The sequence below is a fragment of the Homo sapiens genome, chromosome 10 (assembly GCF_000001405.40).
Source record: "Homo sapiens chromosome 10, GRCh38.p14 Primary Assembly".
Classification (NCBI taxonomy): Eukaryota; Metazoa; Chordata; class Mammalia; order Primates; family Hominidae; genus Homo; species Homo sapiens.
The window spans coordinates 120,494,688-120,521,969 of NC_000010.11; the positions used below are offsets into that span (position 1 = coordinate 120,494,688).

The following is a 27,282-nucleotide window of genomic DNA, read 5'->3' on the forward strand; positions in this document are numbered from 1 at the left end:
ATCAGCTGCTGCAAAGGAAGCCCCTCTTTGGATGATAGGTACAAGAGAGTTGGTAGGAGCAACTTCTTGGGGTCTTCATTTCTTTTTCCACCTCCTTCCCTGTGCATTCTTTCTTTCCCCTCTTTCCAACAAACATCAAACTTTGCTCTGCAAAAATCTGATCTCAGTTGTCCACACTGAGTGAGACTGGAGATCGACATGTTGCATTTCCCAAGTAAGGTCATATCTCTGTATCTCTAATTGGGGAAAAATCTGTGTCTTATTAAAATAATTGCAGATGCCATTGAGCTGGTGGGGAAAGCATGTATGTGTGTGTTGTATGTGTGTATTGTGTATGGCTGTGTTGCTTGACTTCCTTAAAAGTCCAGTGCATGTACGGAGGAAGAGTGCACTCCGTGCCGTATAGACTTAGGCAAGACATCTGACATCTTGTAGCTTCAGTGCACTCATTTCTAAAATAGGAATAATGGTAATTCCTGCCTCATAGTGTTCTTATGAGGGTGAAGTCCTGTTGGAAAGCAGCAAGTGAAGGGCTTGGCATGAGATGTCTGCAATATCATAACTAACTATGATTATTATTCTAATTGTTAGCTTTGTTTTGGGGGATAGCCAACTACTCCAATTCAGAGTAAAGACCTGTCTGAGGGCAGTTTGCTGGCCCACAGGCTTACAGAGATAATCCATCAACATGTTCTCCCTATAACCACACCCACCCCTTGTTCCCAGGACTAATGAATAATCTGATAGGCCTCCTTCCTGCCAAGAGTGGAGTGGCCTGCCTTTTCTGCTGACCACATCGGATGCCTGTTTATAAGAGCTTTTCCCCATTGCCCGAGAGAGAGGCTGACTAGGGAGGAAAAATCAATAGTGCAGTGAGGAAATATGCTTTCCTTTCGGCTCTCACCTGGAAAATGTTTTTTGTTTATCATGTGTCTTCAAGTGTTACTATTTTTTTTTCTTCAGATCTCAGGGGTTGAAAGTGACTTTCTGGGCCATTGTTTGTTCACAGAATAACCAAATGATGCAGAGTTTTGTTGCCATTCTTCTATCTGCTCCCTTTTCCCAACACACAACCTCACTACCCTCGGGTGGGGCTTAAAGAAGGTGGGGCAGCCTTCTCAGACCCAGCATATTCACATTTGTAAGATAAACAGCCACTGTTTGTGGAGGCCTTCAGTGCCCCAGGTGCTATGCTGGACCCTAACTTATTACTGAACAGAATATTCACAATGGCCTTGGAAGGTATGGCAGCATCCTGGGGGACGGGAGGAAGATATGTAGCCTCAGAGAGGTCAAGTGACTTTTTTCAAGCTACCCTGCCAGCAAACACCAAAGCAGGGATTTGGACTAAGTCTAATGATCTGATCTGGTTTATATTTCAGTATAATCTTTTGTTATTTATAGTTGGGAAAAAGGATGATGAAGTCTGTCATCCTAGTACTTGACTTTAAAGCCCCCTGGAGTCTTAACCTATCTTGAAAAAGGCCTGTCATCCAGGCACATGGGCTAAGGGCATTGGCAAATCCATGAAATCTTTTAGAAGCTTATAGGGATCCTCTGGGGCTTTGGGCACTTGACTTTGAATTAGAAGAGAGCCAGGGGGAGAGTGGCATCACTGTCCCTTGTCATGGACTTGCTGTTTCTGCTGGTGTGATGTCAATATCAGCCATTCCTTTGGATTCCCAACTTTGGGCTGCACCTGTTGCCACATTTGGCATATGAACTGTGATAGATACATACCTTGGAACATCCCTAGAGGACCAGGGTCCTCACAGGTGGCTCTGGGTGGGAGGCTATTTCATGAGACCAACTACTGGGGCACTCCAATCTAGACATCTTCTTAAAGCAGAGTGCAGTGGCAAGCTCATGTGTTCTGATGCGTACAAGCAAAAACCTCAACACCCAATTCCACGATCTGTTGTGACCCAGATTATACAATCTGTAATCTCCATAAGAGTTGGGACCATATTTGTATTCACCAGTGTTATAGGACAGTACCTGGCACATCATGGACACTCAGTAAATATTTGTTGAATGAAGAAAAATTTGGCAAAGATGATAGTCCACTCTCTGTCCCCTCCTGTGTCCTTTCTATATAACAAGACACATATCCTGGGGTCTTTAAGTCATGTTGAGCTATGGAAACAGAATTAACCAACAAGAGCATGGGAGTGAGAGAGAGAGAGAGAGAAAGGAATAGGGAGAGAGAGAGAGAGAATGTGTGAGTGTGTGTGTGTGTGTGTGTGTGTGTATGTGCAGGTGAGCATATGTGAGTGTAGTTTTTATCTGTCATGAGTCTAGATGCTGCCCCATCTAGCCCTAGTCTGGGGATCCTCCTAGGGGGTAGGACCATATTTTAATTTGATGCCAAGGCGGTTAAAGGCCTGGAGAGCCCCCAGTGATGCCACGTGTGCCTCTGGAATTGCATCTGCTGCTTGTAGGTGAAGATTCAGGTGACCAAAAAAAGGTAGTCGGTGGTGCTTTTGTGATTTAGCAGTGAAAGAGCCACTGGCAGCCACGGTTTGCCTAAAGGGGAGGGGTGTGTGGTTTTCTGTTATATTTCGCTTTCAGATCACTCCAACTTTAGTTTTCTTCCTGCTTTTCATTCTTAGTCAATATCAGATTCTCCTTTACCTCTTTTCCATTTTGGTTAATTTGAGTGGATTATCCCTGCATCTTAAATAATTACATCCTTTTGCTTGCCTTCCACTCACTTAATTTCAGGCAGTGTGTATGTGTGTGCACACACAAGTGTGTGTTTATGTGTGTGGGGTGTGTGTGTGCATTTTGTGTGTATGTATATATAATTATAAGCTTTAAGGAAGATTTAAACATCTGAACCACACATGAACAATGCACAAACTAAAGAGAAAATTGCTTGGCATAAAGTTAGAATTACATCTTTGAATTTTCTTCATGAATTTTTTTTTCTTGCCCTGTCTTATGGTGCTGAGTGAATGTGTTTTAAGGTCTTCAAACTATATCATGAGAAAATTAAGGAGAAAATATATATAACTGCCCCCACTTTGCCCAGGAGAAATTAAGATACAAATATATCAAGATAACTGTCCGGCCAGGGGCGGCGGCTCACACCTGTAATCCCAGCACTTTGGGAGGCTGAGGCAGGCAGATCACGAGGTCAGGGGATCGAGACCATCCTGGCTAACATGGTGAAACCCCGTCTCTACTAAAAATACAAAAAATTAGCCAGGCGTGGTGGCCAGCGCCTGTAGTCTCAGCTACTCGGGAGCCTGAGGCAGGAGAATGGCGTGAACCTGGGAGGCGGAGCTTGCAGTGAGCAGAGATCGCACCACTGCACTCCAGCCTGGGTGACAGAGCGAGACTCTGTCTCAAAAAAGAAAAAAAAAAGATAACTGTCCAATTTAAACAGGAAAGAAATAGTAGTATGTCTTGGATTAAAATCCAACAACAATTTATCTGACTTTGGGCAGTTAAAATTATCATTAAAGAAAATAATACGTTTACTGTAGTAGTAACTTTGCTTTTCAATGTAGTAACATTTGACCTACGCAGTCTAGACATTTTATTTTTAGTTTGAATCCCTATTAAGTGAAATGATGTTGATCATAGTTAACAATTCATGAATGCTTGTAATGGGGGAAGTCCATGATTTTGAGGTGAGACTGGCACTGCTGCTGAATTAGAGTTTATTGATAACAATGAAGAAAATATTGCATTCACACCTATACAGTGTCATTAAATAGCATTTTTTCCTTTGAAATGATTCATAAATGATACCTTGTAATCTGTTAGAGTTCCATGCCTCCTACTCATGTAAGGCGGTTTATTTTTGGTCATCAAACCTAATGAAGTTTTAGGAGTCTTACTCTACTCTTAAATAAATTGTGAGATGCAATGATACAATGGATAACTAGTGGTATTATCCACATGATTTCAGTACAGAGGGCCCTGAGTTATGTACATAGACACACCAGCTCTTCTATTCTTTTTTTTTTTTTCTTTTTTTTTTGAGATGGAGTCTCACTCTGTCACCCAGGCTGGAGTGCAGTGGTATGATCTCAGCTCACTGCAACCTCCACCTCCTGGGTTCAAGCAATTCTCGTACCTCAGTCTTCCAAGTAGCTGGGATTGCAGGCACGCACCACCACACCCAGCTAATTTTTTGTTTTTAGTACAGAAGGGGTTTCGCCATGTTGGCCAGGCTGGTCTCAAACTCCTTGCCTCATGTGATCCACCTGCCTTGGCCTCCCAAAATCACTTCTATTCTTAATGAAGGCTTTGCAGAGATGGGGAAAGGCTGTCACAGTGAGAACAACAGGCCTGACCCTCATCCCCAAAGGCACTCTGCATCCTTGGATCTGTCTGAGCCTTCTGGACATTAAGATGTTTTTAGCCGTTCTGTTTTTATTGGAAGTAAAAGTAAACTAAATGGTTTTACCCACCTTCTACTGGTTAAAGAGTTGCTGCAATTTCTTTAGCCTTTTCTTGAAAAACTCAAGGACGTCTGTCATTATGCTGGCCAGGAATATACTGACACTTGCAAGCTACTAAGGCTGGCAGGGCTATAGTCCTCTACGCTGAATGGCTTCAGGTTGCTGTGCCTTTTCATTTTGTTTTCTATATTTTTTTCTCCCCCATGACACAAGTGGTGCTTGAGATGATTTTAATGGCTTTGTGAGGTGAGTTTAGATTCAGATTGTATTGGGTTGGTGCAAAGGTAATTGGGGTTTTTGCCATGCTTTTTTTTTTTTTTAAATGGCAACAACCACAATTACTTTTGCACCAATGTAATACATGGATGTGACCCACCTTCTACCACAGTCATGGAGAAGATCCCCTGGGGATCATGTTAAATGCAGACTCTGATCCACTAGGTCTGGGGTGGGGCTGGAGATTCTCCATTTTTAACAAGATCCCACATGATGCTGCTGCCCTGGCCCCTTGTGACTCAAGGTTTGATCTACAGATCGGCAGCGTGGGCCCCCCAGGAAGCTTGCTGGAAATGCTAGCTCTAAGGTCTTTTCTGAACCTGCTGTCTCTGTATCTGCAGTCACAACACTCCCAAGTGATCCCTGGACATATTAAAGTTTGGGAACCGCCGACCTAACACACTGCTGGAGACCACACCTTCACACCTTCCCTAGAAGCAGGGTTCCCATTTCTTGGATTCCAAACCACTTCCAAACCACTTCCAAAGAGCTTGTGGGAGGATGTTTCCAGGCCTGGGCATGTCCTCTCTTGGGAACACCTTTAATGTCTCCAGGACTTTCCATTCCACTATGTGCCCACCTCTGTCCCTGTTAAGATCCTTAAGCTTTATTAAGACCTTGGTCCTCTGCATATTAGCTCCACTGTCTGCATGCTTTGAGACAGACGCCAGTGGCTGGAGCATGGCTGGAGAAGGGACATCAATCTTTCTTAGTACTGCTACTCCCAGAGGATATAATTTGCTTGATAGATGTGTTCTGGCTGCAGCTACTCAGGGTAGAGTGAGGGATTGTGCAAAAGCCTGGGTGCACCAGTCTTTAGAAAAATTGCCACGAGGATAATAAAACCTGAAAGACAAACAAGACGAGGAAGGAAGGTGCTCTGTGGTGTACCTGGTCCCATTGCCCTGTGGCCGGTTGTGTGAGAAGAAATAGGAGTCAAGGTTCTGGGGTCTCACAGAGTGGGGGTGTGTGGCCATCACAGTGTCAATCGCACCCTGTGGGTGGCAGAATATATTTCAGAGGTGGCTGCAGCCATATCCCTCATCCACCTGCTTTTCTATAGTAAGAACTTGCCACTACCCAGTCAATGGGTGGAGTCATTTCCCCTCCCTGGAATCTAGACTGAGCTTAGGACTCACTTCTAACTGGAGATGACACCCCACAACTTCTGAGACTAGGTTGGAAAAAGCCACTGAGCTTCTGCCTTGTTCTGGGATACCTGCTGTGGGGGAAGCCAGTAGCTATGAATAATTCTGACCACCCTGAGCCCACAGTGCTAGAGAGGAAGGGTTTTTCTGGGGGTGGGGGGGTGGGGTGGGGTTCCAGATCCTTTATTTTCAGAGCTTGCAACAGTTGGTTAGCAATGCTAGCTAAGCTGGTATAATCCGAAGGCAATCCACCTTTCTCTTTGGGCACTCAACCAACCGAATCTCTTTCTTACAAACAAGATCATTGACCAGTTAGGATCTGTCTCAATGTGTGTGTGGGAAGAGGTTCTCTCCCCCACACTTTTCCCAACAAGATTGTTTTATAGCCAAATGCAAATCAAATCCATAACACAGCAACTAGTCATCTCCAGTATCACTGATTCCCCCCACCCCCAGAATAGGAAGTTGAGGTAAGAGGGGAGAGACTGTGTCCTGTTATAAGAAAAATAATAGCAGGGGTTCCAGCTCCTGCCAGGGTTCCAGCTAACAGCCTGGTCAGTGGACAGCCATTGACTGTGCCCACATGAGAGATTCTAAGTAGGAACTACCTAGGCGATGAGCCCCTCTCAATTTCCTGATCCACAAATTCATGAGCAAAATAAAATGTTTTGAAGTAATTTGTTACGTAGCTACAGAAACTGGAGTATTCTGAAGCTTTAGTTATCAGAGATACACTACATATTCTTAAAAACATCCTTCAAGCAAAATTTATTTCATTTCATTTCATGTCTTAAAAACACTTGGGAGCAGGGAGTAGGTTGTCACAAAATCAAACAAAGACCGAAAACTGTCTAGTAAAAATATGCAGCTTTAGGCTAGAGTAAAATGATAATAGTAATACAATTCTAATTTTTGTTTCTCTTCTGTCAGGCCCTACATATATATTTCATTGTTTAACTTTCATTCCAACTCTGTAAGGTGTGTCTATTTTAGAGATGAAGAAACTGAGGCTCAGAAAATGTTAAATGACTCATTATGTGCCACATAGCCAGAGCTTGGATTTGAACGTTGCTGGACCTGACTCTAGAGCCTGTCCTGCAGTGGCTGGAAGAGTTGTTAATGAGAAGAGTTAAATTACAGGATGTCCTGTCCTTGGATCCAAGGGTTTGGGACCCTTAGGTATCATTTAGTTCAATGCTGGGGACTCCTGGCCCATCAGGGCCACCTAGGGGAGTGTTTTAAAATCCACATTACCAGACAATGTTCACTTGGAGTCTTAGGTCTGTGGTAGGGTGTTTTCTAGAAGGTTCTGACCCTTCTCAAATTGAAGTCTCTGATTTAGTTCAGCCTCCCCCATTGCAGAGGCCCTGGGTGGGGAAGCAGCTTGCTCCACAGCATGGAGTAGCTCAGTTGGTGAGCTGGGGCAGAGAGCAGAGGGGCAGAGAGCAGCTGGGGCAGAGACCAGGGCAGAGAGCTGATGCCCAGAGAGGGTGCTCCTCCATGCTGCTCTAGAGGAATTTTGGAGGGCTGATAGCAGAAGTGACTTGCACCCCAGTGAGGGGATGCAATAGGGATTCTGTAATAGAAGTGCTCCAGATTTAGGGCTGGTGAAGGGTTGACTGGGTTCTGTGATGATGGCACTGCAGGAGTCCATTCAGTCATCTGGCAAATAGCTACAAGCGATGCCTGTGTACCAGGCAGAGGCGCTGGGGGCCCAGTGCTGAGCAGAACAGTCATGGGTACCACTGCTTTTTGAAATTACATAAATACACAGACTTTTAGGACTTAAAACCTCAGAGTTAGGGGAGGCAGGGAGAGAAGGGGGAAGAGAAGGAGGGAGGGAGAGACAGGGAGAGAGACACAGCAGATGGGTGGATTTTAGGTCTCTTAGATATGCAATAGAATTGAGAGTCAGGCTGATCAAAGTGAGAATAGTTTCAGTGTCACCTGTTCAAAGTCCCAAATAGATGTTAACTTCTGTGGTCTCTGAGTGCCTACAGTGGCCCAGCAGTGCTACTGGGCTCTGGAGTGTCTCCTGCCCTCCAGAGTGACACTCTACAGTGACAGCCCTGGAGTGGCTCCTGCCCTCACACCCTCACAGGGGAGCTGAAGCTGCAAACAGCACATGCTCATACAACGTCCCAAATCTGGGATAGAAAGCGGGGCTGTGGGACTCCTGATTCTGTCTGGAGACTGGGACGGCTTTAGGGTGACCAACTGTTCTGGTTTGCTCAAGACTGAGGGGTTTCCTGGGATATAGGACTTTTGGTGCTAAAACTGGAAAAGTTATGGACAAACCAAGACAGCTGGCCACCTTAGAGGGTTTCCTAGGAGAAGCTCAGCTTTCTCCTCCTCTCCCGCTCCCCTGCGCTCCTCATCTTGGATCATGGAACTCCTTTTCCCAGAAGCCCAAACCAGAAGCCTAGGAATCAGCTTCAGCCACTCCTGCCCACAGGTTCTCCATGCCATCCATTTCCTCCCCAATCTGCTAGTCTCTCTTGTAGGGACAGCTGCCGCAACCCCAGCACCTCCCACTTTGCCTTCTCTTCTCTCCTCTGAGTCCCATCCTCACCATGGCCAGGGCCGCCATTTTGAATTGGAATTCTCATTCCATGCTCCTCTGCCAAACCTCTCCTTGGCTCAAAATCAAAGTCCTCTAGCCTGGCACTCACAGCCCCAAATGACTTGGCTTCTTTTGCCCTCTCCAACTGCATCTGAAGTGGTGCTGAACTTAGTTCCTCAGGTAAAGATTGGCTGGAGAGCTGGGAGGTGGCCTGATGGCTGAGATCTGAAAAAGCAAACCCCTGCATCTCTGCCCCTTTCTTCCCCCCAGTTTTTCTCTTGGCAGTGACTGCTTTTCATTGACCAACCGATGAAGACAGCACACGGGCAGCTGTGCCAGTTACTCCCTCCCTTATGTTCCACCTCAAACCCATTTTGTTTTCAAGAGACCATGCTGCTGCCCTGGCCTTGCCCTATTCTGACTTCAGTTTCCAGTTTACTTTGGAACCCCAAGTCCTTGGAGTCTTTGTACACACAAAGCTACTCCCTTATGCATGGAATTGGTCCTTCTGGCAGGTAGTGATGGAAGAGTCTGCAAAGTCTCAGTGATTCTTTCAGTCCTTCCCAAGCCTTTGAACCAGCTGAGAACTGACAGCAGGGCCTGTCTCTTTCCCCTTCCCCAGCAGGCTGGATTCCCACCCTGAGGGTGCATAGAAGGGGGGCCTCCTTGGGAACTTCCCACAGCAACAGAACGCTCAACCTTCATGTACTTTTCTTTTTATGTTTCAGTTTTACAGAGTTTTTGGATCCGTTCCAGAGAGTCATCCAGCCAGAAGAGATCTGGCTCTATAAAAATCCTTTGGTGCAATCAGATAACATACCTACCCGCCTCATGTTTGTAAGTACCATGATTTCATTCCTTATTTGACTGCTCTCTCAAAGATGAACCAAATGGGTTTTCATCTTTGTTTTTCTAACCCTGAAGACAGTGGGTGGCCTGAGAGAAAGAGAAGGAGAGCAGCCCATCAAATTAAAATCCAGTTCCATGTCATGATAAGAACTGCTTGGTCATGTGAGAAGTAGTCTGTTAGAAATGCTCATTCCCTGGTACCACAAAGAAATAGCACTCAAACATAAATTTAATTCTCTCAGCAAGGCCATTTTTACTTTCTGGAGAAAGGGTGCTCATCGCAGATGGAACAATGGCGGGAACATGCTTGAACAAAGGAGGGAGGCAATTTTTATCCCTTATGCAGCTTGTCCCTGCTACTGTGTCCCGTCTCCATTGGCTGGAGCCAGACCTCACAGTCTAAACTAATACCCGATTGGCTAACAGCTGAAAACTTTCTTAAATAGGTAAAGGCAAGGGAGAACAAAGGAAAAGAGGAAGTTGCTTATGAAAGATTTAAAGAAGCAATAACATTTCCAAATAAGGAAGGGGCATAAGCTATAAGCTAAGATTTGCCTCGGCCTGTCTAGACATGCCTGAGTAAGCCAAAGCAACTAACTGGGCTAAAGTGTAAGAACTAACAGTTGATAGGAGGCTTTAGAGTAAGAAGCTATTATTCCTAGTGCCTATTTTATTTTTAAACTAAGACGAGCTTTGAAGAGGAACTTTTCTACTTTCTACAAGTCATTGCCCAGTATTGTGGAATGAGAGAGGACTTGTTTGTCTGGGCTATGCTGAGTTACAGTAAAGGAAGACTAGAAGCCAGTGATGAGAATTTTCTGTCCCCTCTCTTTTTAGGATAAGCCTTGATTCTGCCAAATGAAGGTACCCAGATAGCTCTGTTTAAACCTCTGTTCTGGTTTTAGCTGGTCAGTTTTTGGCCACTAATAAGACTACCCTGTGCTTCAACCTCTTGAGAGTGTCTTGTGTCTCTCTCCTTCTAGAATAAATGGGCAAGCACCCATAGAGCTGGTGAATATATTGAGATAAATTTTACCTCTCCCACCCTCAATGCCACATGGCAATTGCCACATGGCAGTTGTAACCTTTTACATTTCACTGCCTATATGCCAGGCTTTTTGCGGAGAGCTTAAGAAATGGTGGTCTAATTTAATTCCACCCAGCATCCCAGTGAGGAAGATGTCATTATTGTCCACATTTCACAGATGCAAAACTGCATTCCAAGAGAGATGAGGGAACTTGCCCAAGGTCACACAGCTAGTGAGCACAGCACCAGGTTCTAGCGGCCAGCTCTTGGAGCTCAGCTCTCAGCCAAGAGGCTGCCCTGAGGGTTGGGGGCAGAGTGTCTGGGACTCCTTGCTGATGCTAATGAAGCCCTGGAGAATTGGAGGATTACCATCAAACCTTTCTAGAACAGAGGAAATATTTAAGCTCCTCTTTGTTATGGAACGATAATGTCACTTTTGGATGGGCAGCCTCCCAGCAGTTTGAAGGTTATTCCTGTTGACCTGCCATGGTGTCTTGTGCCTCTCTGGGAACTGCTCCAGAAACTTCATAGACACACCGGGAACATTTTTGTATTTTGAAAGAAATCCCTCTGATTTTACAGAGGAAATTTTGTTAATTAGTGATGATTGGAAAGATCTGTGTTTTTGCAAACTCTTGGAAATGCCCATAATGCCAGCGAGCATTAAAGTATTATTTTAATTGCTTCTTAATAATTACTTTTCTACTGGAAAGTAAACTGGATTTTTATAAATCTTAGGGAAATTGACAAATTAGGGTGGTTGTGAGTAGGGAATTACTAACACATGACTACTAAAATCAGCCTTTTTTCATTTCTGCTGTAACTCAAATATTCTATAAATCCTAGATATAAAGGAAGCAGTGTGTGTGTAATGAGTTTACTCAATGGCTTTAATAGGGAGAAGCTTCTATTTATCAGTTACTCCTATTTTTCATAACATTTTACATTTCATGTGTTGTAAAAACACAATTTGGAGATGAATGTTCATATGGGATGTTGTGAGAAATCTGTGGCTGTGTCCTAGATTTATGAACAATGGATTGTTTTGAAGTCTAGATACAAATGCCACAAATATTCTGGCTACAGACGTAAATACGATGGAGCAATTTGCATGCTGGCGGTGGTAGAAATTAGTCAGTAGAGGGCTTATTCAGTGCTGGGGTTCTCAGAGAACAGAAGGATATTCAGCTACACATACTGATTCATACCCTCTATTCTAATGAAATAAGTTCAACCTTTTATTTCATTAATAGCAGTTGATAAATTTCATTCATTTGGTCACACGATTTAGTACAATTCCATAATAACATAAGGAAAGCAGTAGATACATTTATAATACCTATAACACAAAGATGAAAAATATTTTGTCACCCCATAAAAAAGATTTGTTCTCCTGGGTTTTAAGAATTTAATATAAGGCATTATATTATTTTGGTCTTTTAAAACCTTCAGATGTTAGTAGAAGAATTGGTAATAGAACATCCATTTTCACTGATGTATAAAATGGCTTGATTTTCTTTGAAAGCTCACATTTTTTCATTTACTACATAAAAAAATTCTTGGGGTCTCCTTTAATTTTGGTTGGAATGTTTTAATCTAAAGATGAACTTTCTTTCTTACCAAGGTGTTTTTTAAAGGTAGCTGGCATTGACTTGGATTTTCTTTTATTGGATAATGAATGCTTCTAGAGTCATCTGTGTGCAATTTAGAGGAGCCAATTCGGCAAATGTAACAAGAAAATTAACAGAATGATGGCTAGGGGATTAAGTGCAGAGTAAATGGTAATAATGTCACTGGAAGCCTCCTAACTTGCACTTTCGCTGTCTGTGGCACCATTAGCTCAGGTGATGTCTGTCACTCTGAAAGTTGGGTGTAGTTGGAACTGTTTGATTCCAAGAGCTTGTTTCCCTTGACAACCCAGTGTTCCTGTTGACCAGAGAGACTGGCTGAGAATTCTTTTCAGATGCACTCAAAAGTCTTGCTTAACATTTCTGGGATATGCCCAAGGCCTTTATGGAAGGCTGTTTCCTCATTCAAAAGAGGTACCGGTTTCCTGCTGAGTGTGAGAGGTTTATCAGAATATTTTTTAAAACCTACTTTTTGTGTAGGACAACTTAATCGGTATTAGTTGTTGCTCTTTGGTATACTTTTTGTTGTCTATAGTAGTTGTGTCTTTGTACATTCAGGGGACATTTTCAGGGAGCCTGCTGTGGGTAAAGAAAACCATAGGGGCTATAGGGGATGAGAAGTCCAATGAGACTTGGGAGGTACCCTCAGGGACCTTCCAGGATCCCTGGTACATTAGGATGGTACTCTAATACAAAATGGAATCTGAAAAGGGCCAGAGGAGAGGCTCAGGTAAACTTCTAGGGAAGTTCTTCATCATCATCATCATTATCATCATCATCATCATCATCATCATTATCATCATCATCATCAACAACAGTAAACATTTCTTGAATTCAGGGGCTGTGCTTATCACTTTATAAAGAACATCTCAGTTAATCTTCAGAATCCTTTGAGGTCAGCACTTTTGTTAATCTCATGTCAGTGGAGAAAACAAAACTGAGGAAATTATACAGCTTGTCCGAGATTATACAACTGTCAGTGGCTGAACCAGGATCTGAGCACTGGCTGTGAGTGCAAACTCTCACTTGGAGGCACTCCGCTGTGATGCTTCCTTGGTGATTGGTTAGGTGGAGAGGCGTGTAAAGGCAGAGAAATGGAGAGTGAGCCTGTGTGGGTCCTGTCAATAGGAGTTTGTTTGGAGTATCTATGCGTAAGGGCTAAGAAAGGGGGCAGGGATAGAGCTAGACTGGGGGTAGCTTTAGATTGGTTAATTACAAGCTAATTCAGTGGATGGTTATGAAACACTTGCCATGAGGAAAGATGAATAAGATATGGTTTCTAGTCTAGGGAGGGGCACAGACATGAACACAAGGTGAACAGTTCAGCATCACTAAAAAGCCTTGAGGAATAGGTAAGACTCAGTAAGAAGTTTAAGGAATGATAGGTTTTGCAAATTTTTTCCTTGGCTTCCAAAAGAAATCCACCCAAGGCCTATTCTTTGCCCTCTTCTCTTTTTGCTTCGACCGTGATATGTCCAGAAGATACATTCTCATAGACTATTACTGATAGATACTGTGTTGATTTGATACCAGGGTTTTCTATTCTGGGATAGGATGCTTCTAAGGAAGGCAGAAATAAAGTCATTTTGGGGAGGAAGAAGGAAGAAAAAGAGACAAGGCTGGATCATGATAGACAATTTAATTTTTAGGCTCTTTTTAAGAGTCTTAGACAGCTCTTTTATCTGTGATGGGATGTAATTGTTTACCCAGAGCAGGGCCTTTTCCAAGTGTCTGAGTGTCTTAAAGTTGTCTTTATAATCACCCTGCAGCACACCTTTCTGTCAAAAGCCAGAAATGAAGGCACTTTGGGCCCATTGTTTTGTTTTGTCTGTTGTGAATAAACCCCAGTGACAAGCTCCTCTCTGGCTAACACCCTCGCATCGAGGCTGCTCTGGCTTCGATCCCTTCTGGTTGTTAGAAGTCCTTGGCATCCTCATGCCCTCCCCCATCAAACACACTGCTTCACATTTTGTGGTTTCCCAGAAGCGCCCCGGCAGTGTGGTGCATGGTGCCTTACATCAGCAGGTGGGGATGACTCACTTTCTGGGTGCAGCACTGGCCAGGGATTGACGCCCCTTCCTGTGTTGATTCATGGGTGGATGCTCCATAACTTAGTTTGTCGTTTAGGGTATGGTCAGGGTGCCTGGGAGAGTTAGGCTCCCTCTTCTCTCCCCAACCTCCTCCTGCTACTCAAAGGTGCACACTACTTAGATCTAAGGGTGCAGGTGGGCTTGAATTGAAAATGCATCAATCCTATGTGTCTGGTGACAAGATCTTGATACCCTTTTAACAGTCTTTTCTAGAAAATAATGAAATACTAGTCAACAACCAGCATTTGCCGGATGCTAGCTCTCTGTTGGATCCTGTTGGTGGGCAGTTGGTTTGGGCTCCACAGTGGCCTACAAGGGGTCAACTCCCAGCTTTGCCATTCACTAGCTATGCAAATTTGGAAGATCACCTCCCCTCTTAGCACCTTACTTTCTTTATCTGTGAAAGGTGTCTTTAAGAACATGTCCCATCAAGCTCTAGAGAGCATCAGATGGGGGTGACAGACCTTTGGCACTTCACTTAGTGTGTGGCACCTAATCAGCATTCCATAACTATTAGTGAATTGAAATCCTGCCAATAATACTTGCCATGGATATTATTATCGTCATACCCATTTATAGATAAGGAAACTGAGAATCAAAGAGGTTACATGATTTGCTCAAGGACAAAGAATGGATAAGTGTCAGGAGCTAGGGCTGAACTCACCTCTCCTCAATCTGAGTCCATTCCGCACATTTTTTTTTGTACAGAGCTCTGGCTTCCCAGCCTGTGGAATACATACAAAACTAGCCACATTCCAGATCCTGCTTAATGATACATACACTATCTCTTTATGTGGGCACTGTGCAGTACAATTAGTAACTTTAAAGATGGTGTTCAATATATAATCTCTGCCAGCCTCAGTTTCCCCATCTGTAAACTAAAGCTTTTGGGCTAAGGGAATCACCGAGATTCAGGACTCCAACCCAGGAGCATGGCAACCCAGTCTGGGAGTCTTGGTCCTACTAGCTGTGTGCATTTGTGTGTTCACTCATCTCTCTGAGTTTTAGTTTGGTTATTTGTACAATGGGAATAATATTTTCCATAGCAGAATAGTTAGAAGATTGGAAAGTGTGAGGAAAGTCCATAACACGTAGTAGGTGCTTAAGATATGACAGCTGTCACTGAAATTTCTATGACTTATCTATGACCTGGAAACAAGCCTCCTTACCTTTCTTTTTTAACTTGGAAAAAAAGCATGCACTATGTTTTATTTAATGTTTACTTTCTAGGGTAGGAACTGCTCTAACATTGTGGTCAAAAGTGCAGAGCCTAATTTAGATGGTCTGGGTGCAACTCCTCATTTTACCACTTGATTAGTTGTGTGACTTCCAGCAGGTTGCTGAACCTCTCTGTGCTTTATTTTCCTATGCATTAAGTAAGAAGCCTTTTCCATGTAGGATTGCTGTGAGAAGTGAATGAGTTAATTTGCATGGGGTGCCTAGAATAGACTATAGTCCTTAGTAAGTTCTCAGTACACGTTAGCCTTTGTTATTGTAACCTAGGTATGTACATTCAGCAGCCCCATACTCATAACAAGTGAGCAGAACTCAAGTCCAAGAAGGGTTCAATATGTTCTCTGAATCCTGCAGCAGTGTTCGGCTGGAATTCTTTGTTTTCTCTCAGGTCTCAGTTAATAAGCTCTGACCACTCCCCATCTTCCTACCCTGGGCTCATCCTAGGATTTCCTAGGATTTGATTCTTTTAAAATTAGCCATGGAAACATTAACAGAAGAGAAAACAATACCAAGGGAGACTTTGCTTGCTCATGTTTTTCCTCCACCTCTGCCCATGTGTGGAGGTACAAGGGAGCATCCCCACCTTACGTCCCTCTGTACATCTTCATCTGCTCCCCTGGCTCGGGCAGCAGAACTGCAGCTACCAATGGCCTTTGTCGAAAGAGTGGAATGCTTATGCACTGGTTTCAATTCAGTCTGCTTTGCTGAGTGAAAGTGAGGTGGTGGGGTGCTTACTCGCCTCATTCCTCCTTTACCCAGTTCAGAGGTGTTTTGCCCTAGGAGGAAGTCGTTTTCCTAATGTGTTGGCTTCTGAAGTTCACCTCTTAATTCCAACTTTCATTTAAAAATGTTTGTGTACAAGGGGGTGAATGATACATGTAACTATGTCTCTATCCATCCTGATTCACGGACTGTGCTGCCCAAGGATATGGCAGATACATTTCCAGGAGAAGAATGAGACACTAGGGCCCATTGCTTTTAGGATGAGAGGAGGAAACAAGCCACATCTTGCAATCACACAGACACCTCTGCTGCAGCAACTCTGGGGTGGGAACCATGGCATTTTGAAGGCTGCATTCCCTTGCCTGGGAAGCCCTTGATATGGGGAGCCTTGGGCCCTCCTAGGTGCTTAGCATTGGCTCAAGAGCAGTTGATAGTGGTCCTAGAAAAGATACCAATATGCATCTACCTAGGAAATTTGCAGCATGAGTTAAATTAAGTCCAGCCTTGTTGGGGAAGTGGGGGTGAGGGTCCAATTAGGAAGAGGCAAGTTGAGGCAGGGCGCAGTTCTAAAGGAGACCACTGGGCCATCAGGCCATGAGCTTGGAGTCATTGGGCAGCTCTAATGAATTCTTCAGCCTGCACACCTGGCCTTGATCCTGAGCGCCTCCCACCTGGCACCCACATCTCCTATGTGGGCAGTGACTTTCTGCTCTGGAATTTCCTTTGGAAGCCTCATTGGGAAAGTCATCCCAACTCATACTTTTTTCTGGGGTTTCATTGTTGCCTAACCTTAGATTATACCAGCTGGGATTGCCTTGAAATGTTTCCTTCAAAACCATGTTGTTCTCCTATATAAACACTGACTTGGTAGTATCATTACTGGGTCGTCCACTATTTAGTGAGTTGCTTTCTCCTATTTGGGAGCACATTGCCTGGTCTGTATGCAGTGCTTAAAGGGACAGAAAACAGGAAGGTAAGCTGGTAGCCTTCATGTTTGGATTTGGAGAAACAAGGACTTCTTTGACCTTGACCATAACATTGGACTTTAGTAAGTGGTGCTTCAATTCTTGTTCTTTAAGCACTAAATGCATGAGACAAAAGTCTAAGGCATAATTCTCAATCATCAGCATCAGTACCATTTGAGATATTGTTAAAAATGTACATTTCCGGGCCAGGTGCGGTGGCTCACACCTGTAATCCCAGCACTTTGGGAGGCCGAGGTGGCGGATCATGAGGTCAGGAGATAGAGACCATCCTGGCTAACACGGTGAAACCCCATCTCTACTAAAAAAGTACAAAAACTTAGCCGGGCGTGGTGGCGGGCGCCTGTAGTCCCAGCTATTTGGGAGGCTGAGGCAGGAGAATGGCGTGAACCCAGGAGGCAGAGCTTGCAGTGAGCCGAGATCGCACCACTGCACTCCAGCCTGGGTGACAGAGTGAGACTCCGTCTCAAAAAAAAAACAAAATGTACATTTCCAGACCAGCTGTATAAGCATGTTTGAGGAAATCAGTACTTCAACAAGCCGTGTAGTTATTTAGGTGTGAGAGCTGCCCAATAATTTATGGCACAGACTTACTGGACCTCTTAACTCAGGAGTGTTGCCCTTCTGAATAGCCCCCAGGGGAATCCTCTGTTTTCTCTGTAGCAGTTCTGAATCTCCTCTAGTGCATCAGCCCTTTAGCACCTGAATACCCTCCATGGTGGCAAGACTTGCTTATTTGACTTTTAAACAATCCAAGTCATTCAGGGCCACAGCTGAATCATCAAACTGGTTACTACCACTTCTGGTCAGAAATAAATGGTAGCAGGTAAGGAGAGGGCTTTTTTCATGTCTCATACAAATGGCCTCTGAAGACAGTTCCCAAAGAGGAGTCCCCGAGATAATTTGAGCTCTAGCAGTCTGGTTGTAGTAAGGGTGTGGAGCATCTAAGCCTGCATTCATTTGGTTGAATTCTGTTTTTATAAAAGAAGAGCTCTTGGCCAACATGGTGAGACCCCATCTCTGCTAAAAATACAAAAATTAGCTGGGCGTGGTGGTGTGCACCTGTAGTCCCAGCTACTCAGGAGGCTGAGGCAGGAGAATTGCTTGAACCCGGGAGGTGGAGGTTGCAGTGAGCGGAGATCACTCCACTGCACTCCAGCCTGGTGACAGAGTGAGACTCTATCTAAAAAAATAAAAAATACATTTAAAAAAGAAGAGCATATTCCAGCCATGCCTTAGTTCCATCAGGAAACCCCTCTCCAAAAAGTGATGTCTTACTAGAGCAGAGAGAGAGATTTCCAGAATTATGAACACTATTCGTCAACAGTTACACCCCAGCCCTCCCACCACTGACTGCTAGGCCAATTCTGGATTTGTGAGATGTTCAGTCTCTTCTGATATTGTTATCCTGAGATGTTATAGTCATGAAGAAGCAACAAAAAATGCCTTTTATATGGTTGGTGGAAGGTTTAAAAACAATTTACTAATTACGGAAGCTGGAATAAAGACTCAATATGGGAATGGAAACCTTGTCCCCAAATCCTAGCCTCGCCCCTCTCCAGTTGTATGTTCCCAGGCACATCACCTAGTCCTCAAGCCTGGAGGAGGCAGTCACAGAGTTATCATGAGGATGTAAGAGGCTCCTGGACTTGATGGTACCACCAGTACCATGGTTTCCACCTCACAGTAGGTTCTGTAATGAGTGTTGGCTGCATCTGAATCCCACCAGTTTAACTCATTAAGTCTGAGTTGAGCATCTATGTGGAGGAAAGGGTATAGAGGAAGGAAGAGTAGAGTCTTTAAACAAACGGACTAAACTCTGCTTTGCAGAAGAGATAAATATTCAACAAAAGAACACCAAAAGAAAATGAATTGATTGACTCTAAGTGAGTCTCAAATGCACTCGTGTTTCCAGAGAGATAGGAGTTGGAGGCCAAGGGTTCTTCACCCTTCCACAGAGGAGAGCATGAGGGGAATTACTGGCAGACATGATTCATCGTAATTATAGACTATTCTTTTCCATTTAAAAAGTCACTGCTTTAAACATGGCTCTCAGCAATTACAAATCAATTATAACCTACAATCAGATCTTCCATTTTTAAAGTCTGTGTAGTCTCTAAACACAGACATACATCATCCTTTTTTTTTTGTTTGTTTGAGGTCAGGAGTTCAGTAAGATTATTCAACCAGGGAGTCTAAATGAAACTAACGGGAACTAATTATCAATCAGCCCTTCTGATAGCAAACTGATGTCCTCATAAGGGATTGTTTGTTATTTCTTCCAGGCAATTTCTTTCCTCACACCCCTGGCTGTTATTTGTGTGGTGAAAATTATCCGGCGAACAGACAAGACTGAAATTAAGGAAGCCTTCTTAGGTAGAGTATTCACAGTTCCTGCTTTAGGGAATGGGGCTGACCTTAATTAGATGATCACATTTAAGAAATCTCAGTTACACCCAACTGATTTTTTTCTTTTGGTCAAATTAAGCTGGGGAGGAACAAGATAAGATAAAGATAAACTTTAAGCCCAAAGAAGAGCCAACGTGCGGTCCTAAATGAAGGATGTTCAGACACCGCCCACTGTCGCTGTCCGTTGTGCTGAATGCTCGTAACACCCTGTACACACCAGAGAGCTGTGCTGCTCAGGCGCAGACTCCGGGTAGCTCTTGGCAGTAAGGCAAAGTAAATCTAAAACTTTGTTGCCTCTGACTGTCCACTCTCACATTTTTGGCTAATAGACCCACATTATGGGCAATTCAGCAATCAACCACAGACTCCTCGACCAAACACTGTTGGCTAGAAGCAATAATAGGCAAATGCGGGAGTAAAATAAAATAGATATTACAAACAAGCTCTATAACTCATCTTAAGTTTGAAGATATTTTGGTAGTTAAGTGTTCATTATTATGTGAAGAGTGCTATGATCTTTGTCATTGATTATAACATCATTGTTATAAAGTCTTCCCAAGACGAGCCATGTCTGCATGGGACAAGAGTTTGACATTTCAGGATTAAATGCGTTTTTCTGGTCTTCATGATAATCAAATCCTGAGTAAATGACAGCATTAAGAGATAGCCAAAACGACTTGGCTTGTTTAGCAAACAAAATAAACTAACCTGTAGCCAGGTTTTCAGCTTTTTGACCGTGAGAAAAACCAAATCAGGTTGATTTTTTCTTTTTTTGACACGTCACCTAAAAGTTACCCAAATCCTCAGCCCAAATTTTGTTTTTGGTGTGTTATATGGACTTACCATTCAATGGGCTAGTAAGTCTGGAAAATGAGAGCCTTCACTTAAGGGTATGTTTGTTTGTTAATTATTGGGCTTTGGGGAAATGAAAATGTAGCAAAATATGATCCTCCCTTTTCCATGGTAAGGGAGTGAGTGTGAGAGCTGCATCTAGGGAGTGTGGGACAAGCAGCAGCTCCTGCCCTAAAGCAGCACAGAGAACGCTTCCTATATAACCAGGCTCCTGTTAGGCCTTATCTACTTGAAACGAACAGAATCCCTCTCAAATTAGCTCAAATAAATTAGGGGTTTAATTACAGGGCTCTGATAAGCAATCTCACAGACATCCAAGAAAAAGGGGGAAAGGTTCAGAGGCACCTCACAGGGACTGGAATGGGGAGCTGGGCCATCAGGAGGGGAGACCTCCCTCTTGGCTCATGACCACTGCAATGTGCCTTGCCTCTTCTCCTCACACTCCCAGCCTGATTCTTCTGCCTCAACTTTGTTTCTGCTGCCCCATGTCTGGTTTATGTGAGGCTTGGGCTTGCAGTGGTGGTGATTTCTGCCACAAATCTGTCTGCCTGTTCAACTTCGGTGCCCACCCACCAAGCTTCACTGTGTTTCTTGGTCCAGACTTCCTAGACAGAGTCTCTGGCTCAGCTCATTTCTCCAGCCTGGACACAAAAGCCATGAGTCCCTGGCCAGCCTGTCGATGCCCTCCCTCAGGTCAGGTGTGTACCGCAGGCTGCCCTTGTGTGGCTTGGACTTTTGGTCACAGGTTTCAGTCTCCTCAGCTGAGGTGGAAAAAGGTCACATTCTCCAAGGATTCAGGTAGGTGTGCCTCCACACATGGCTTGAGTGGCCGGGCAGTGTTTGGATGGATATCACCATAGTCTCCAAAAAGTGCTGTTGGGAGCCCCCTCAGTTCATTTGGAAATCCCTTTAGTTCATTCTTTATTCTAGTGGCTCCCCTGGCATGGAGTCTCAAGATAAGTGACTGTGGGTGAGAACTGTCTTTCATGGTTATGGTTCTCACTGACGGCTGGCTTTTGGAGTGGGGCTGCTGTCACAGCAGTAAGTAGCTCACAGTTGCCTTCTCCAGACTTTTCATTCTCAGCTAAATCTCCCTTAGGGTGACATTTCAAAATTGAACATCATACTCTGTCTCCTATACGTTAACAGAGAAGGTGGAATTATTGGATGTTCTGTTTGCCTAAATAAATGAGAGCCTGCCATATAAAAATGATGAACAGCCTCCCATTGTGTGTAGAGGTTTTTTTTTCAATCACTATTTTTAGGAAGCCTCGGAAGTAGCGGGTGGGAGTGGGTGATCCTTAAAAGCCAAGGACAGAAAACAGGGTGTAGATTTTCCAGTGTTGTCTGGAATTCAGGACTCTATCGACCAGGAGGTTTAGTTCTTAGCATGCTTCTTTACTCAGATGTCTTCAGCAGACTTTAACCCAGGCTTCCAAACCTGGATCCCAAGTGCTGCCCTCATCTCCAGGTAAACAGTGGCCATGTTTGTGCATCTGGCATTGGATGAGAGGAGTGAGGTTTGCCCCATGCAGCATTGGGCTTTTAGGAATTCAGGCTGCAGAACAGTCAGGTCTGTATAATAGAGAACCCTCTTATAAAAGCACGATAGTGCTGAATTTCCTACAACAAAAGTAACAACAAAAGCCCTCTAATCTCCTGGAATGCTTATAACCAGTAGCGTCCTGAGTACAGGCTGCTTACAAGCCGACTCACGGGACATGTTGCTTTGAGATTTTTTATCAGACACAGTATGGTTTGTCTTTTTGACTCTTCTCTGAAACCCACAGTGCTGTGGGATGCTGTAAAAAGAGAACAGCCCTTATGAATCAGACCCACTGGGTTATTGCTAATGAACAAGTATTCCTGATAGGGGCCATTTATTTTCCTGTTTGTCCAGCCTTTCATGGGTCTGATCCCAGCACAGCCTTCTCTGGTATCAATGAGGGGCTCCTGCATTGATCCCCGGAGGGTTGTGCTATTCCAGTAAAAATATTAAGCAGTTTGGTTTCCTTCTAGAATGCTGAAATGACCTCCATGTTAAATATCATCACCAGCTTCCTACCTTTCTGTTTCCTTCAGGTGTTTGGATTAGACAGGGAAGTTGCCAACTGTAGGTGGTTATATCATATCCATACATTTTCCAGCTCAGCTATTTCAGACTTTTTAAAGAACTGCTCTGTGCTGCGATAAGCCCACCAGGCTCAGAGGCTGGGGAAGTGATCCATGTGGCTGTGTATGAAGTTCACCAAGATTTACATGGGGCGATAGGGAATTGGCTAGGGATGCTTGTTCCCAGAGAGGCCATGCTAGGACCAGGATGATAATGAGTTCAGCCCCACTGGGAAAACACAGCCGTGAGCGTGGCAGGCCAGCCCTAACAGAGAAAAGACCACAGTAATTTTGCGGCAATCTCACAACCTGTTAATTATCAGGGTTTGTGGAGAGAATATGGCAAAGATATCCCAGAGAATTTGCTCTCGCCTTTTGGAGACAGGCCTCTCCACAGTGCTCTGAGCTTGCCAGAGAGAAGGGAAGCTGGCATTTGAGGAAGGAAGGATCTGTGTGTTCAGAATGCAATCAGTGGATCTTTCCAAGTTCCCTCATATTCAGTTCCAATTTCTGCACCCCCATTGCATGCTCAGTGTTTTAATGGCAGTGCTGTGCGGCTGATTCACACTCTGCCCTCCAAGTCTGTGGCCTGTCCCTCCTTTCTGCCACACTCAGATATGGCCAGTTGCCCCCATCTCACACTTAGGTGATTTGTTTCCCTTTGACAAAGATGTTCATTTGAATGTGTCCCTCCCATTCTTTCTGCTTCGGATAACTTGTTAAAAGCAGGTGGGTTGTGTTCCCATCTCTGTGGCTTGTACTCTTAGTGACCATGTTGGCCATTCCACAGTACTTTCTGCTCATAGAACAACACGTTTGTCTCTCTCGATGGGCCATGAATTGCCCTAGGCAGCTCCTTCCCGAAAATGCCCCCATTCACTGCTATATTCTTATATAAATCTCAGCTAGTGTTGAACAGTTAATATTTGCCAAAGGGAAATGGTAGCTCACATGCTTTATTATTCAACAAAGCAGTGGATGGGGCATCAATAGGTTTGTACTGCTTCTGTGAGGCATTTGACCTTCTATCACATTGATGGTGATGACTCTGCCTTTTACGCACTCTCGATAAACCACAGGAGAGAGGTACAACATTTTGCAGTGAAAGCTCTGTGACTCATGTTACCTGCCGCCTTCGGGACAATCTGTGCTGCATCTGGCAAAGTCTTCCCAGACTGTTTGGAGAAAGTCCCTGTGCTCTGTATGGTCAAATAATGTATCCCAGAAGTTCTTGCTGTTTTAGATGGCAAAAAGCACCGCCCGGGCAGACCTTCTCCAAACCCAGTGAGGCTTTTGGACTCTGCACCTTGGCAGAAACAGTGATTTGTTTGATAACAAATGGACAGCTGTCGGCCGGTGATGGGTCAATAATGAGATAATTGCCGAGTGGGAATGTCCTTTTCTGCAGTAGGATTCCAGCAGCTGCTCTGATTAGAATTATGTCTGAGAAGGTTGCCAGGAGGAAATAAAAAAAGTTATGTTTCTTGTTACCAGTAAAAGAAATTCTACATGCTGTGGTATTAAATCTGTTCATATCAGGCCAGAAAATGATAGATAAGCTCCTCTGTGATTGTGAAAATTTCAGTCAAGGAGGAGAGATAAATTTCATGTCACAGGGGCCTAGAATTTTATGAGTCACTCTCCAAAGTCCTGGCATAATTATATTTTGCTCTCTAGCAACCCAAACGTATCTCTGTTTTCAAAGTATTCGTTCATATTTCTCTGGTCATTAAATAGTATTATAATGTAACAGTGATGATGATGATAATGATGATGATGATTTTGATTTAAGAGCCAGCTTGCTATTTTTCTGTCTGTTGGTTTTGTTTTGTAGCGGTGTCCTTGGCTCTTGCTTTGAATGGAGTCTGCACAAACACTATTAAATTAATAGTGGGAAGGTAAGTTCCAAGAAGAATGAAATGGTGACTTAGACTATCAAGGTCATCTATATAGGAAGCTGGGCCAGAGGACACTGGATGGGACAGATTTGAGCTCATCTAGTTCTCCCTTAAATTGTTGTCCTTCTGAGATTTCCATCCTTAGCACAGATCTTTCCTTTGAATTACAAACTCACTATTTTAGAAAGCAGATCACTAGCAAGGAAGTGCCCACTGACTGCACTTTCTTGTGGGACAAAGCTTACTGCTGGCATTTTCAGATTCTTCCCCTGCCAGCCCAGGGCCTCCCCTGACACCCACTCACTTGTCAGTTTTGGCCTCTAATAAGTAGGATTACTTACCTGTCATTCTCTTCAGGATGAGACATATGGATTGGCATTTGAGCCTTGGCTTATGGCACATTTCTCTTAATGCCCCTGAGAAATGATTTCTGTTTTCCATTTATCTTTCCTTCTCTTCTGACTGCTCTGGTGAAGAGCTGGTCTCTACAGACATGAGCAGTCAAAACATCTGAATTCAAGACCTAACTAACTCTAGCTGGCTGTTGGCCTGGGACACACTAGATCCCCTCTCAGAACGTTAGGATTTATTTTATCTACTGGATGCAGGCCAGGGACTGAGGGGGCAGGAGATAGATAAAAATCAGGCAGTACATGGCCTGTTGCTGCTGTGTTCCCTTAACTTTGTGTGCCCTGACCAGTGCTTACTCTCAGGCCTCACCCCTCTGAGGTTCTGGTGCATTAGGTGGACATCCATACTTGGAGAAACAGTGGCTGAGTACCAGAGAGACAGTACCCCAGCTGTTCTGGTAGACTGCTTAGGCCCTACTGGAGTTGCAGAGCTGAAGGACCAGTGACCAGGACTGTGACCTGGAGTGCTCAGAAAGCAAGCGCTATGTTTCCAACATTAGCTAAACTTCACCCGTGGTAGGTGCTCAGCGAATATTAGTTGAGTATGAATGTGAGGTGATAGGCCATCACCCACCTGTGTGAGGACCCTCATTCAAGTGAGGCAGTAAAGCATGGGGTGAAATGTGTCAGCATGAAGATCCAGGCGCTGGTGTTCAAAGCTTGTCCTTGCCACTTACGGGATGTGTGTGACCTTGAGCAATGAAGAGCCTTCATTTTTGCACCTGTAAAATACAGACAGCTCCAGGCTCTGCCTCAGGGTTCTCCTAAGGATTATATGGCACAGCAGGTGTGTGGAGCTTAGCACTGTGTCTGAAGCCTAGTAAGCACTCAGGACTTCCTGCAGCTGTGATTGCTGCAGGAGGCTCGACTTCAGGCCCAGGGCCACCCCTATGTGCCTCTAGAGATCTCTTTCCCATGTCCTAGACCAGAGAGGCCAACCTGGGGCACTGTGTCTTCTGCATCATGGAGCTGAGTGTTCAAGGTCTCTCAGTGAGGCCAGGTGAGGCCTGCCATTTCAGGAAGGGCAAGTGGCCACCCAAATTCAGGATATACGGACACGAGGAGCCTGGAGTCTTGGATCCCAGAGGCAACCTCTGAAATAGATCAAGCGGTAGAGTGGTAGATTAATAGGATTACTTATTTATCGTTCTCTTCAGGCTGAGACCTATGGATTGGCATTTGAGCAATGCATGCCAATATCCAACAATAGAGCGGTAGATCAAGACAGGAAGTAACTTCTAGTCCACAGATGGCATGAAGCCTTCCTTTTCACACCTGTCAAACAAGGAACTTGGGCCAGAGGACACTGCTTAGGTGCCTCCTGTAAGTCATGTCACTCTATCCACAGGACCTCAGCTTTGGGTCAGTATTGATTTCCCCCTTCTACAGATGTGGAAACTGAAGCTGGGGGAGACCAACTGACCTTCCCAAGGTCATAAAGTGAGTAAGTGGTACATGGGAGCGCCAACTCAGATTTCTCTGACACCAAAACCTGAGCTTTTTCCCAAACGGCTGTGTCTAGAGTATTCTGTGAGGAGCTCCAGTGTTGACAGCCAAGGGGGCTGAGGAAAGAGCTGGGGGCAGTGGGGAGTTGGGGGGGTCAGCTTGGGGTCATTTGTGATGGCAGCATTTTATATTGAAAATGTCCATGGTGTCTTTTGTAGACCTCGCCCCGATTTCTTTTACCGCTGCTTTCCAGATGGAGTGATGAACTCGGAAATGCATTGCACAGGTGACCCCGATCTGGTGTCCGAGGGCCGCAAAAGCTTCCCCAGCATCCATTCCTCCTGTAAGTTCATGGCTGGGATTCTCTTAATGCCCCCAGTCATGTTTCCTGCTCACTGTCTTTGGGAATTTAGGTGCAGAGAAAAGCACTGGTACAGGAATGTTAAGCGCAGTTCATTTTTCTTCACTTTACGGCGTTTGACTTAGAAACAAGATTATTCAACAGGAAGTAATATGCCCAGGATGAGGCTCTGGAGCTTATAAAACATTGCATGTGTTGCTTTCATGAGCTTGGCAGAGCATAACATGTGATACTTTACCCCTGCACAGTACGATTTAGGACAAGGGAATTCTCTACGCTCCCTGGGAGCCTCCATTGTTTAGGTCATTGTTCTCTCTAGTTTATTTCTTCAATTCAGGTGTTGCGTGTGTGTGTACACAAATATATAGCACATATGTATACATATATACATATACATACATATGTTACATGTATATACATATACTTTCCCCCATGCCTCCAGTTTATAGTCTGACTATAGATGTGTGAACACCTTAAAACAAAGACTTAATACTGTGAATCAGAAGCCGTGCAATGTAGCTGAAAAGGAGACAGGTCTCTGAAGTCTAACAAACCCTGGCTCTGCCAGGTATTAGCTCTGTGACTTCACCTCCCTGTGCCTCAGTTCCTGCTGTGTAACATGGGAATAAGAATGCCTCCATTATTGGTTGGAATGAGGATTAAAATAAGTGGTGATGATCGCTCACATTTCTGGAGCAGCAGCTATGCCAAAATGGCAACATAAATTATCTTATTTAATCCATGCAGTATATGTAAAGCGCTTAGTATTGTGACTTTCAATAAACAGTAGTTATCTACATGATTATTGATTATCAGAGCTGAAGTTTCCTGAGTATTCTGGCTTGTGCCATCATCC

General features: G+C 44.3%; 1 protein-coding gene across 15 annotated transcripts in view, besides 2 other annotated features; it reads left to right on the plus strand.

Moving 5' to 3' along the window:
- Nucleotides 1–27,282, plus strand: part of PLPP4 (phospholipid phosphatase 4) — a 135,112-nt gene that overhangs the window by 37,734 nt on the left and 70,096 nt on the right. For 5 of the 15 annotated variants that reach the window (XM_011539444.4, NM_001030059.3, XM_005269592.3 and 2 more), the window contains 4 exons: nucleotides 9,131–9,239; nucleotides 19,224–19,314; nucleotides 24,146–24,209; nucleotides 26,284–26,408. In XM_011539444.4, the coding sequence (XP_011537746.1) occupies nucleotides 9,131–9,239; nucleotides 19,224–19,314; nucleotides 24,146–24,209; nucleotides 26,284–26,408 (389 nt within the window). Of the gene's footprint in view, nucleotides 1–9,130; nucleotides 9,240–19,223; nucleotides 19,315–24,145; nucleotides 24,210–25,967; nucleotides 26,060–26,283; nucleotides 26,409–27,282 lie in introns of those variants that run through there. The other 10 variants (NR_134516.1, NM_001318168.2, NM_001318169.2 and 7 more) reach the window with 7 other exon arrangements.
- Nucleotides 9,121–10,320: an enhancer, noted in NCBI's record as "MED14-independent group 3 enhancer chr10:122263320-122264519 (GRCh37/hg19 assembly coordinates)". NCBI's record gives its function as "activates an origin of replication core promoter dependent on BRD2, BRD4, P300/CBP and CDK7 cofactors, and independent of MED14, by STARR-seq in HCT116 cells {active_cell/tissue: HCT116}" and the evidence as "EXISTENCE:reporter gene assay evidence [ECO:0000049][PMID:35650434]".
- Nucleotides 9,721–9,950: an enhancer, noted in NCBI's record as "active region_4134". NCBI's record gives its function as "activates an Ori minimal core promoter by ATAC-STARR-seq in GM12878 lymphoblastoid cells {active_cell/tissue: GM12878}" and the evidence as "EXISTENCE:reporter gene assay evidence [ECO:0000049][PMID:35858748]".